Genomic DNA, 14,842 nt, shown 5'->3' on the forward strand with positions numbered 1-14,842 from the left:
GTATGTACCACCTTTTAAAAAAATCTATTCTTCCATCAGTGGACACTGGGTTTCTTCTATCTTTTGGCTATTGTGTACTCCTCTTTTGAATATGGGTGTACAGATATCTTTTTGAGATCTCATAATTGCTGAACTGTATAATTCATTTTTAATTTCTTGAGGAGAAGCATACTGTTTTCTATAGTGGCTGCACCATTTTACATTCCCACCAGCAATGAACCAGGGTTCTAATTTTTCCATTTCCTTGTCAACACTTGTTATTTCCTAATTTTTTGATAGTTGCCATTCTAATGGGTGTGAAGTAGTATCTCACTGTGGTTTTCATTTGCATTTCCTAATAAGCACCTTTTCATATGCTTATTAGCCATTTGTAGATTTTTTTTTTTTTTGAGAAATGTCTATTCAAGTCCTCTCCCCATTTTTTAATCAGGTTATTTGTGTGTGTGTGTGTGTGTGTGTGTGTGTGTGTGTGTGTGTGTGTATGTTGAGTTGTTGGATTTACTTACATATCCTGGGTATTAAGCCTTCTTATATATATGATTTGCAAATATTTTCTCCCATTACATGTTTTACCTTTTTATTCTGTTGATTGTGTCCTTTGATCTACAGAAGTTTTTAATATTGATGTAGTCCAACTTATCTATTTTGTCTTTTGTTACCTGTACTTTTGGTGTCATGTTTAAGAAATTGTGCCATATTTAATGTTACAAAACTTTCCTCTATTTTTATTTTAAGAGTTTTATAGTTTTGGCTCTTAAACTTACATCATTAATTAATTTTAAATTAATTTTTGTATATGATATAAAATAAATATCCAACTTGATTTTTATTGTTTTTGTAATGGAATTGTTTTCTTAATTACTTCTGGGATTGTTCATAGTTAGCATATTGAAACACAACTGATTTTTGGGTGTTGATTTTGTATATTATAACTTTCCTGAATTTGTTTATTAATGTTCTACTTCATTTATGATTTTTAATGTATGATAATACTTTATTCAATAACTTAAACAACTTTAAACATATCTAAACATTTTTGTCATTGTATATAATGGTGAAATGAATATCATTGTAAATATAAATCTTACTATATCTTTAGGACAAATTCCTAGGGGTGAAATTATTTGAACACAAGACTTGAACATTTTTACAGCTATTGGTAACTACTGTCATATAATTTTTCAGAAAGGTTTGTTGAGATAATTTTTAGAAAAGGTAAAATCATAGCTCTTAATGCAGATAAAAAATGAATACCTATTAAAGAATTTATTTTACTTATAAGATATTAGGGAATCAGGAAAATGTTATAACCAATTCAAATGAAAAGTCAAAATAGGACAAATTCATATGGAGTAATAGAATACTGAGAACAGCACATGGAGACAAGACTGGTTTTTCATGGTGCAGTGGTGGTGAAGAAGCCAATTAAAATCACTAGCAGGCAGGATAGCACTTGTATATCTATCAGTTACCTACACTTTTTTAAAAAACTGTTTTTTTGCTTCAAGACAACAAACAGGATTAGAATGTGATAACTCAGAAAAATGTACTACAAAAGATACAATTTTTACTGAAATACAAAAAAAATCTCAGCAGGTCATTCATACAAATTTACGCTTTTGGTAGCAGTTTATAATAGTTTCTGTCTCACTTTCTTCTCTTGGCATTAAATATTATTTTAAAAATCTATGAATAGAAGAAAAGGGGTTATATAATTTTTTATTTAATTTATACTTTTAATTTAATTTAATGAGTACTATAAACGGGAGTAAAGATTTTTAAGAAGAGAACCTTAAAATAAGAATAAAATTCTGGATTGAAACTAAAGATTGGGGAATGGAGAAAAACAGTAGAATAGAAAGCTCTATCAATCATCTCCTGGGCAAAGACACCAATTCAACTGTCTACACAAAAAAACCACCTACCTAAGAACCAAAAATCAGGTGAGCACTCACAGCACTTGGTTTTAACTTCATATCCCTGAAAGAGGCACTGAAGAGGTAGGAAAATGTCTTGAATTGCCAATGACACACTTCCCCCATCCCCCAGTGGCAGTGGTGTGGTGCTGAGAGCAATTCTGTACTCTGGGGAGAGGGAGAGCCAGCAATTGTGAGGTATGGAACTCAGTGCTGTCCTTGTTATAGTAGAAAGCTAAACCTGATCAAACTTAGCCAATGTCCACCCACCAGAGGAATATTCAAACCAGCTCTTACCAGAGGGAATCAGCGAACCAAGCAGTCAGAACTTGAGTTTCCACAAGCCTCGCCGTGGTGGGCTAAAATGCTCAGTGGCTCCAAATAAACTTGAAAGGCAGTCAGGGCCACAAGGACTATAACACCTAGACAAATCCTAGTGCTGAACCGGGCCCAGAGCTAGTGGACTGGTAGTGGAGCTGGTGGGGAGGCAGGCAACCTACTCAGATACCAAGTGAGATGGCTAAGGGAGTCCTGGCATCACTTCTCCCTTAACAGTGGGCTGCACAGCTTGTGGATTCAAAAGAGACGCTTTCCTTCTGCATTAGAGAGGAAAGGGAAGAGTGATGAAGACTTTGCCTTGCATCTTGCAGGCCAGCTCACCCACAGCAGGATAGGGCACTGGCCAGAGTTGTGAGGGTCCATATCCTGGCCCTAGCTGCCAGATGACAATTCTAGACATACCCTGGGCCAGAAGGGAACCCAATGCCTTGAAAGGAAGGATCTTGTCCTGGCAGAATTAAGCACCTGCTAAGTGATGAGCCCTTGGGTCCTGAATAACCAGCAGCCATAGCCAGGTACTATGTTGAGGGCTTTGAGTGAGACACTGAAGGCTGGCTTCAGGTAAAACTCAGCACATTCCAAGCTGTGGTGGCTATGGTGAGAGGCCCCTTCTGCTTGAGAAAAGCAGAGGGAAAAGTAAAGGGGACTTTGTCTTGCACCTTAGGTACCAGCTCAGGCACAGCAGGGTAGAGCACCAGGTGGCCTCTTGGGGTCCCCAGTTCCAGGACTTGACTCTTGGATGGCATTTCTGGACCTGCCCTGGACCGAAAAGAGACCACTCCCCTGAAGGGTGAGTCCCATGCCAGGCAGCATTCACCACAAGCAGATTGAAGAAGGCCTTGGACCATAAGGGAACATTGGTGGTAGTCTGGCAGTATTCTCCATGATCCTGAGGTGGCAGTGGCCATGGGGTGAGGCTCCTCTGCCTTTGGTAAGTGGAGGGAAGGTTGGAAAGGACTGAATCGTGTGATTTGAGTGCCAGCTCAGCTGCAGTACAATAGGGTTTTCTAAGGTTTCTTTTTTTTTTTTCTTTACAGAGTCTCACTCTGTTGCCAGGCTGGAGTGCGGTGGTGCAATCTCAGCTCAGGTTCAAGTGATTCTCCTGCCTTAGCCTCCTGAGTAACTGGGACTACAGGTGCGCACCACCACACCCAGATAATTTTTGTGTTTTTAGTAGAGACTGGGTTTCACCATGTTGGCCAGGATGGTCTCAATCTCTTGACCTTGTGATCTACCCGCCTTGGCCTCCCAAAGTGCTGGGATTACAGGCGTGAGCCTCCGCATCTGGCCAACTTCTCAGGTTTTTAACTCTAGTCCTTTGGTTCCAGAAGGCACCTCTGGACCTGCCAGGGGCTGCGGGGAACTCACTTCCCTGAAGAGAAGGACATACATCTTGCTGACTTTGTCACCTGGTGATTATAGGTCCTCAGGGCTATGAGTAAACAGAGGTGCTAGCCAGGAAATGGTTAGAGAAGGCCTTGGGTGAGACCTAGTGCTGTGCTGGCTTCAGGTCTGATCCAGTGCAATCCTATGTAAGGTGGTGAGAAGGGAGCTTCTGTCAGTATACCCACAGGCTCCAAATGGCTCAGAACAGAAAGAGAGATTCTATTTGTTTGGAAGACAGTAAGGCAAGAGAACAAGAATCTATGCCTGGTAATCCATATAATTCTTCCAGTTCTTGTCCAACCAAGACCATGAAGGCAGTGCCCCTATGAGTCTGCAAGAACTACAGCATTACTGAGCTTAGGATCCCCTCTAAAGAAATTACAGCTTAGATCATAAGCTGTATGAAGGACCCAAGTCCTTTCAAATATCTTGGAAGCCTTTCCAAGGGGGATGGGTACAAACAAGCCCAGACTGCAAAGACTACAATAAATACCTAACTCTTCAACGCTCAGATACAGACAAACATATACAAGTATCAAGATGATCAAGAAAAACATGGCCTCACCAAATGAATTAAATAAGTCACCAGGGACCAATCCTGGAGAAACAGAGATATGTGATCTTTCAGACAGAGAACTCAAAATAGCTGTTTTGAGGAAACTCAAAGAAATTCAAGGTAACACAGGGAAGGAATTCAGAATTCTATCAGATAAATTTAACAAAGAGACTGAAATAATTAAGAGGAAACAAGGAGAAATGCTGAAAAATGCCATCGACATGCTGAAAAATGGAGCTGAAAAATGCAACTGATATGCTGAAGAATCTTCAGAGTCTTTTAATAGCAGAATTGATCGAGCAGAAGATAGGCTATTTGAAAATACACAGTCAGGAAGATAAAAGAAAAAAGAATAAGAAACAATGAAGCACACCTATAGGATCTAGAAAATAGCCTCAAATGGCAAATCTAAGAGTTATTGGCCTTAAATAGGAGGTAGAGAAAGAGACCGGGGTAGAAACAAAGAACGTCCCAAACCTAGAGAAATAAGTCAATATCTAAGTACAAGAAGGTTATAGAACACTAAGCAGATTTAACCCAAAAAAGACTACCTCAGGCATTTAATGATCAAACTTGCAAAGGTAAAAGATAAAGAAAGAATCCTAAAAACAACATCTTAAAAAAACTAGAGCAAACCAAACCCAACATTAGCAGAAGAAAATAAATAATAAAGATCAGAACAGAAATAAATGAAAATGAAATGAAGAAAAAAATACAAAAGATCAATGAAAGAAAAAGTTTTTTAAATAAGTTAAACAAAATAAACCTTTAGCCAGACTAAAAAAGAGCCAAGATCCAATAAATAAAATCAGAGATGAAAAAGGAGACATTACAAGTGATACCATAGAAATTCAGAGGTTCATCATTAGCTACTACGAGCAACTATACGCCAATATAATGAAAAATCTAAAAGAAATGGACAAATTCCTAGATACATACATCTTACCAAAATTGAACAAGGAAGAAATTCAAAACCTGAATAGACCAATAACAGATAACAAGACTGAAGCTTTAATAAAAATCTCCCAGTAAAGAAAAGCTGGGGACCCAATGGCTTCACTGATGAATTCTACCAAGCATTTAAAGAACTAATACCTATCCCACTCAAACTTTTCTGAAAAATTGAAGAGGAGGGAATACTTGCAAACTCATTCTACAAGACCAGAACTACCCTGATACCAAAACCAGACAAAGACATCAAAAAAAAAAAAAAAAAAAAAATACTGTAGGCCAGTATTTCTGATGAACATTGATGCAAAAATCCTCAACAAAATACTAGCAAACTGAATTCAACAATACATTAAAAAGATAATTAATTGTGACCAAGTGGGATTTATTCCAGTGATGCAAGTTTGGTTCAACATATGCAAACCAATTAATGTGATACATCATATGAATAGAAAGACAAAAACCATATGATAATTTCTATTGATGCTGTAAAAGCGTTTGACAAAATTCAACATTCCTTTATGATAAAAACCCTACAAAAATTAGTTATAGAAAGAGCACACTTCAACATAATAAAAGGCATATATGACAGACCTACAACTAGTGTCGTACTGAATGTAGAAAAACTGAAAGCCTATTCTCTAAGACCTGGAACATGAAAAGAATGCCCACTGTTACCACCATTATTCAATATAGTGCTGAAAGTCATAGCTAGAGGAATCAGACTAGATAAAGAAGTGAAGGGCATCCAAATTGGAAAGGAAGATTTCAGGAATTTCCTAGAGACTGGTTGAATAGTTGTGACCAAAATGCTGATAGTGGTATGGGCAATGAAGTCCAGGCTAAGGCCGGGTTCTCAGATAGAAATGAGGAACTTATTGGGAACTGGAGCAAAGGTCACTTTTGTTATGCCTTAACAAAGAACTTAGCTGCACTGTGCCCCTGCCCTAGGGATATGTGGAAGTTTGAACTTGAGAATGATAATGTAGGGCATCTAGCAGAAGAAATTTCTAAGCAGTAAAGCATTCAAGATGTAGACTGGCTGATTCTAGCAACCTATGCTTTTATGAGTTGTTGGAACTTACATTTTTTAAAAGAAAAGAAGAGTGTAAAATTTGGAAAATTTGCAGCATGGCCACATGGTGGAAAAGGAAAGCCCATTTTCAGGGCAGGAATTCAAGCAGGCTGTAGAAAGTTGCATAAGTAAAAAATGAGTCAAGTTCAAAAATCCAAGGCAATAAGGAGAAGTCCTTGAAGGAATTTCAGAGACCTTTGGGGGCAGCCCCTCCCATCACAGGCCCAAAGGTCTAGGAGGACTGAATAATTTCATGGATGAGGCCCAGGGCCCCTCTGCCCTGTACAGCCTCGGGACACAGTTTCCTGCATCTCAGTAGCCCCACTTATAGCTGTGGCTCAGAGGGGTCCAGATACAGTTGAGGTTGCTGCTTCAGAGGGTTCAAGCCATAATCCTTGGTGACTTCCACATGTATGGAAAAGAATGGATGTCCAAGCAGAAGCCTGCTGCAAGGGAAGAACCCTCATGGAGAACCACTATTAGGGCAGTGCAGAGGGGGAAATGTGAGGATGAGCCCCCACACTGAGTCCCCACTGTTTTACTACCTAGTATGGCTATGAGAAGAAGTCCACTTTCCTGCAGACACTGGAATGGTAGATCCACTGACAACTTGCACTCTATGCCTGGAAAAGCCACAGGCACTCAACACCAGCCTGTGAGAGAAGCTATGGGGACTGAACCCTGCAAACCCACAGAGATAGAGATGCACAAGGACTTGGGAGTTTACCCTTCACATTAGTGCGCTCTGGATGTGGAACATGGAGTCAAAGGAGATTATTTTGGAGCTTTAGGATTTAATGACTTTCTGCTTGGTTTCAGATTTGCATGGATCTTGTTGCCCCTTTCTTTTGGCCAACTTCTTTCTTTTGAAATGGGAGTACTTACCCAATGCCTATATACTCATTGTATCTTGAAAGTAACTAACTTGTTTTTGATTTTGCAGGCTCATAGGCAGAAGGGACTAGCTTTGTCTCAGATGAAACTTTGGACTTTGGACTTTTGAGTTAATGCTGGAATGAGTTAAGACTTTGGGGATTATTGGGAAAGCATGATTGTATTTTGAAATATGAGAATGACATGAGATTTGGGGGTGGGCAGGGGCAGAATTATATGGTTTGGATTTGTGTCTCTGCACAAATCTCATGTTGAAGTGTAATCCCCAATGTTGGAAGTGAGAGCTGGTGGTAGGTGATTGGATCATGGAGTTGTTTTACATGAATGATTTAGCATCATCTGCTTGGTGCTGTTCTTTTGATAGTCATTGAGTTCTTGCAAGATTTGGTTGTTTAAAAGTGTGATCTCTCTTGCTTCTGCTCCTTCCATGTAAGAGTGACCTTCCATCATGATTGTTAGTTTCCTGAGGCCTCCCAAGAAGCCGAGCATATACCAGCATCATGCTTTTTATAGAGCCTGTGGAATCATGAGCAAATTAAACTTCTTTTCTTTATAAATTACCCAGTCTCAGGTATTTCTCTATAGTAATGCAAGAACAATCTAATATAGGAAGAATCACATTACCAGACTTCAAATTATAGCACAGAGTTATAGTAATCCAAACAGCATGCTACTGGCATAAAAACAGACACATAGACCAATGGAACAGAATAGAGAACCCAGAAGCAAATCCACACACCTACTGTGAGCTCATTTTTGACAAAGGTGCCAAGAACATACACTGGAGAAAAAACAGTCTCTTTAACAAATGGTGCTGGGTAAACTGGATATCCATATGCAGAAGAATGAAACTAGACCTCTATCTCTCACCATATACAAAAATCAAATCAAAATGGATTAAAGAACTAAATCTAAAATCTAAAACCTCAAATTATGAAACTACTACAAGAAAGCATTGCAGAAACTCTCCAGAACATCTGTCTAGGCAAAGATTTCTTGAAGAATACCCCACGAACACAGGCAACCAAAGCAAACATGCACAAATGGGATCACATCAAGTTAAAAAGCTTCTGCACAGAAAAGGAAAAAACCATCCAAGTGAAGAGACAACCCACAGAATAAGAGGAAGCATTTGCAAACAACTTATCTGACAAGGTATTAAAAACCAGAATATATAAGGAACTCAACTCTATAGGAAAAATATCTAATAATCTGATTTTAAAATGAGCAAAAAGCTTGAATAGACATTTCTCAAAAGAAGACATACAAATGGCAAACAGACTTATGAAAAGGTGCTCAACATCACGGATTATCAGAGAAATGCAAATCAAAACTACAGTGAGATATCATCTCACCACAGTTAAAATGGCTTTTATCCAAAACACGTAGTAGCAAATGCTTGCAAGAATGTGGAGAAAATAGAGCTCTTGTTTACTGTTGTGGAAATGTAAATTAGTACAACCACCATGGTGAACAGTTTGGAGGTTCCTCAAAAACTAAAAACAGAGGTACCAGATGATCCTATACCCACAATAAAGGAAATCAGTATATCAAAGAGACATCCGCACTCCCATATTAGTTGCAGCACTATTCATAATAGCTAGGGTTTGGAAGCAACTGAAGTGTGCATCAGTAGATTAATGAATTAAGAAAATGTGTTACATATATGGAATGGAGTACTATTCAGCTATAAAAAAATGTGAGATTCAGTCATTTGCAACAATATGGATAGAACCGGAGGTCTCTATGTTTAGTCAGATAAGCCACACACAGAAAGACACACATCGCATGATCTCACTTATTTGTGGGTTCTAAAAATCAAAACAATTGAACTCATGAACATGGACAGTAGAAGGCTGAGAAGGGTAGTTTGTGGTGGTGGTGCTGAGGAGAAAGAGTGAGATTGTTAATGGCTACAAAAACTAGTTACAATGAATGAATAAGGCCTAGTATTTGACAGCACAACAAGGTGACTATAGTCAATATTAATTTAATAGTATATTTTAAAATAACTAAAAGAGTATAATTAGATTATTTATAACACAAAGGATAAATTCTTGAGGAAATAGAGACCCTATTTTCCATGATGTGATTATTATGCATTGCATTCCTATTTCAAAACATCTCATATTCCATAAATATATACACCTACTATGTACCCACAAAAATTAAAAATGACAAACTAAAAAAATTATGAAACTTTTGTTGCATCTCTTTCTCTTCTCACTATTTGAAAGGTACTGAGAAACATAAATTTAGAAAAGAATTGTCTTGAACAGTGCTGAATCCTTGTTCATAGTTAAGTGGCTGAGAACATTTTGAAGACTAAATTAAATACTATAAATTATAAATATCAAATATCCATTTGCAGCCAGTTTTGAAAAACAGGACAAGGCCAGTTCAATTATTTTTAGCACTACATCCTCATGATTAGAATTCATTTCCCTTTCAGATTATACTTTATCCTGGAAAGTGTGCTTGCTTCAGAATTAGGCAAGGAATACTGAATGTTTAATGAAAAAAATCTGTGTAAACCCATTATTAAGAAATGGTTGTAATAGAAGCCAATTTCATTACTGTGTACTCCTTTTACATATACTAAGTTTGTTAAAGGAGGAGTGCTTTTCCTGATACTTTAATTTTTAACTTTTGTATTTCAAACTTGTTTGACCTTTGGTCAGGACATTGGACCTGTCCCTTTATTAGCACAAAACATTGCTATAATTCTATGCAGGACTGTTTGAGAATCAAATTAATCAACATATATGAAAGTATATAAATGTATGGTTCTTTAAAATGAGAGTGGAGAAAGATTTTAATATAATACTTTTACAATTATTTTTACTAACTTCTTTTCCCTTCCTCAGGCAACAGTCTACTCACAAGCCTCCTCTCCCCAATGCCATTTGAGTAGTAATGATGGCTTTCTGTCACTGCCTTTAGACAGAAACACTAGAGAGCCAACAAATAATTACGGTTTTGACTTTTGACCCCTTAAGAAGATTACTGGAAAGCTCTAGAAAAGGCCTTACACTGACAGCCATGGCATTGGGATGCCATTATTTGTTGGGAAAAAATATGCCTGTTAGTCTGGTTTTAATTCCAAACTCTTTGTTTTAACTTTTAGCATCAAATTCTAGAGAACACAGAGCTTAGATTATACTCTATAAACCTAAGAATGGGAAAAAAATTTGTATAACTTCTACTTTCCATTAAAAAGCATGTAAGAATGAAAGGAAAAGTAATTGGAGCATGAGTTCTTAAAAAAGATCTAGTGTCCCATTTTCTATGCTAAATTCTTGAGAGAATGTAGGGTGACACAAAGTTCAATGGAAATGCCAGAGAAGTCAGGAGAGACAAGTTCTTTAGTACACAGGACTGTTGTCTAGCTAGCCTTGGTGTAACCTGGTCACAGCCTTGTTGAGAAGGCCGGAGTCTGGCATGTCTGACAGCAGCATTTCAGAGGCCACTCCATATCTCATTACATGCCCTAGGAAGGGGGCAGAAATGGCTAAGAGAGACAGATGCCTGGAAGAGACCCTTCAATGTGTTTGGAGGTTATGGAACTACAAGTGAACATAAATATTTTTAGCTGGGTCAAATGATGCAGACCAACACACTTGAGGACAAACAACAACTCAGCAGAGGCCTGGAATGGCAGAAAACCACCTTGGGTTAAATGTAGAGATATTCCATATACAAATGGACAATAGCCAGACTATATATAAAAATAGAAATCTGACCCACAACCTTTGTAGCAGCCAGTCTGTGAAGCCAACCACAACCTCTATAGCAATCAGCCCCAAAAAGTTAGGATTTTGATCAACAACTGCAAACTTCTCTATTTTTTGCGTTGTTTCTTTCCCCACTTCCAACCTAGGATAAAGCTGAAAGTGCTCTGCTAATCAATCACATAGGATGTCCTGCTTCTAGTTAGCCTACCTCCAGCTTCCCCATGCCAAAAATATCTAATCAGGGCATGCTTAAAGCCTTCCCCTTTTTTTTCTACTATAAAGCTTTCCCACTCTTCTGCCTGCCTTTGAATTTCTGCCAAACATAAGCAATGGTGGCTGTCTCCTTTGCTATAGCAAGCAAGCTCTGAATAAATACCCTTTGCTTGTTCCTGTTTGGGTGTCTTTATTTCCACAATGCACATTTTCCTTCTGATGCCATGAAATTATTTATAGGCCTTTCCCAAGTCTGGATGCCACCTGGGGATATGGCAAGAAGGGGTAAGATAAACCTAAATTGACTAATAATTAATCTAGAGAAACTGAGTTTTAAACCAAATGACACTGAGTGTTTTGCACATGTACGATTAAATTTTCTAAAACTAGGCAGAAATGTGAAGTCATGAGCTAAGTTTAAATTTGAAACTTTTTTATTTGCTGTTTTTAAAATTTTCCAATGGTATAAAATGCATGGCTCCACACACTAATATGCTGGATGAAATATTAATTATATTACATTTTATTTCCTTTGTCATTTATTTTATACCAAAGAAGATCTAGCATTCATTCTTCATTCATCCATTCATTCACCAATAATTTATTGAGATTTTACTATTTTCTGGACACCACAAGCACAAAGAATAATGAAGACAGAGACATGGACTAACAGCCCCAGTGGGGACACAGCCTCCTCCCACTACACACATGTGACACAGGGTATGTGCTAACACAGATGTGCTAACAGTATTATTTTTGTCAGATGTTGTTTACTCTAGACCTTATGGCTATTAGAAGAAATGGCGGGTGGGGATAGTGGTCCATGTCCAAGTGGACCACTACAGCTCTTCTCTTAAATTCCTAAGCAGCTGCAATAGTTAAAACTTTTAGAAAATTAACACATGTTCTCATGACATTGTCCCAATAGGTACGATTGAGTGCAACAGAATATCTGAAACTTGTGGTTCCAAATATCTAAATAACTCAGTACTTAAGTTGTCAGTCAGTTCAGCTCACAATCTTATTGGAAGTGAATTTAAGATGAAAAACAATTCAAGGAGTTATAATAATAATAATAATAATAATTATCATTACATTATTATAGGAGTTTAACCTACTGTATTTACTCAAAGATAGTAGTCAAAATAATTAGGAAACAGATATGTAATTTGCATAAAACCTCTAAAACATGTTTTTTAAAGTGCAATTCATTTTTTATAGGCAATGAGAAATTCAAATTTAAGATTTGGAGAGTCTAGTCCTTTTTACTTCTAACTTATACTTTCTGTGTCAGGTGCACTGGATTGCCTTTCTCTTACAACACTTATTTTCCCTTCCCCTTGGATGGCTTCATGTTTTTATCTGTGATGTAATTCTTTCCATTGTCAAACTTTGAAGAGATGGGAGCTGTCAGATTTTAATATAAGTAACACATTCTGTAGGGATTGGGAAATAATGGTTAAAATAATATAAAATTATGTAGGTTTAAATGTGATTCACCTGTTTGAGCACCTAATATATGCCAAACATGGTACAAAATCCTGAGGGAATACAAGCTTGAATGACAGCTCTTATTATCAAGGAATTTATAGATATCTTGTTATCTATAAGATAATATATGAATGAGAGAAAACCCAATGGTGGTTCTATTTAAAACTTCTTTAATTCCTTTCAAAGTTTTGCACGTATTTTACTATATGTTCTTTACTAGGTATTTGATAATATTGTAAATAAGTATCAATTAAAACATTTTATTTTCTATTTGCTTATTTATATAGAAAAACAATTTATTATTATATATTGGCCTATTATACAATGACCTTGCTACATTCACTTATTTGTTTTGTAGATTCTTTCGATATATAGTAGTTAAAATTTATATCATCTGTGAATAATGACAGTTTATTTCTTCCTTTCTGATGCATATGCTTTTCATGTCTTTTTATTGTCTTATTGAGTTAGCGAGGAATTTTAGTGTCATATTGAATAGAATTGGTGGTGGTTGGCATCTTTACTGATTCCCAATCTCAAGGGAGTTTACAATGTTTTACCATTATGTTTCTTGAAGTTATTATTTTGATTGGCTTTATTTATCAGGTTAAGAACAATTTGTTATCTTCTTAAGCTTGAAACAATCTAGATATTTTAAGCAAAAAAGACTGTAATAATGTGCTTACAAACACTGTGCTTAAGTAATGCTGTATTTACAAAATTGTTGGAAGTCCTAGAGGAGCTGGATTCGGGAGGCTAACACTGGTGCTATTGATTTCAAGAACACGTTGCAATGTCTGTAATACAGGGATCAGGAAATTGTTATTGCCGTACCATCATAAACCACCTCTTAATACTCTTGTCTCTGCTAACTTAATTTCCACAGATTCAGCAGCAGCAGGTCCACTGCCTTACTTCTGCTTTCCAAATGTCCCCTGAGTACTTCTACTTGGCAGAAACAAATTTACATACAAATCCTAGGCTGCAAGTAGAGGTGAAAATGCCAGATTTCTGCAATATAGAAGTTGTGTGGAGGGAGGTGTAAAATGTTCTGGGTAAACACCATTGACCAATGGACATAAGATCCAGCACAGTTCTTTGATTTCTCAATATTTACCCATATCTACCCCTTTACCTAGTCTAAGTCTTTTAACTGGCAAAAACAACAATCACATGCTTCTGATTAACACAATGTAGCTTTCTGTTATAGGAAGAAAAATGCACTTACCCTTTCCTGCACATAGCCCATCAGTCACTGTATCTATCTCTAGGTGGGCGATGTTCATTATTCCAGTAGTTTATTTATTGTCCTAACTAGATATCTTTGGTAGAAGTAGTAAATTACTAAGTTAATAACCATCAACATTTAGTTATGTATTAGTTTCAACACATGTGTATATGGAAGAATGAAAATATAGGTAGTTACTTCCATCCTCATTTTTAGGGTCATGAGACCCTAGTTATGTTCTATCTTTCTTTCCTCACTACTCATTCCATGTGTCATTTATCATTAGCAATCCCTTTGTTTCTTTAGGTTTTTCTTCTGGTGTGAGCACACATGTCTGCATTCCTCAGAGGTCAGAGCCCTTTTTGAGTTGGATTTCAGTAGCCTCCTGTTAACCTATGATACTGGATGTAAACTCAGGTGGCTTCAGATGTAAACTGCCCTTTCCCCACCCCTTCTTTTGTGGAAGTAATATTTTTCCTATATGATATTCAGAATCTAATCCACCAGGCACTATAGTCATCTCCTTTATTTGATTGCTGCTTTGATGGCATGAGTATCCAAAATAGGGCTGTCTGAAATTCCAGTTCAGCAGAATAATTGCTCTGTCCCCAGGAGGTAATCAGATTTCTAAAACCTCAAAACTAGCCAACCTGGAGTTCTGTGGTCAGGAAATAAAATTGTTTGCTGGGCTTATTGGGTGCAATAGTAACAGGTAGTACTCTCATCATCTCTACCTCTTGATTCCAAGTTCCATGCTTCCTTGCTATATCAGTAACCCCACCATAAATTGATATTTAGTTCAAAGCAAATTACAGCATGTAGGGAAGCACCAACCACACAAGGTACTACCTCTCAGGTGTAACTGAATTGTCAATAAGACCTTGAAGTTGAGCTACTTTGGGGTGTTAAGGTATATGCTAACACCATGAATCTTCAGGGCAACAGCCTATTGGCAGATTTATGCTATTTAAGCCCCATATTCAGATACAATATTTTGTTAAATACCATGAAGATGAATAAGGCATTCATTAAGCCCTCAGTTGTTGATGGTGGTAAGAGAAT

This window comes from Homo sapiens, chromosome 12 (genome assembly GCF_000001405.40).
Source record: "Homo sapiens chromosome 12, GRCh38.p14 Primary Assembly".
Lineage (NCBI taxonomy): Eukaryota > Metazoa > Chordata > Mammalia > Primates > Hominidae > Homo > Homo sapiens.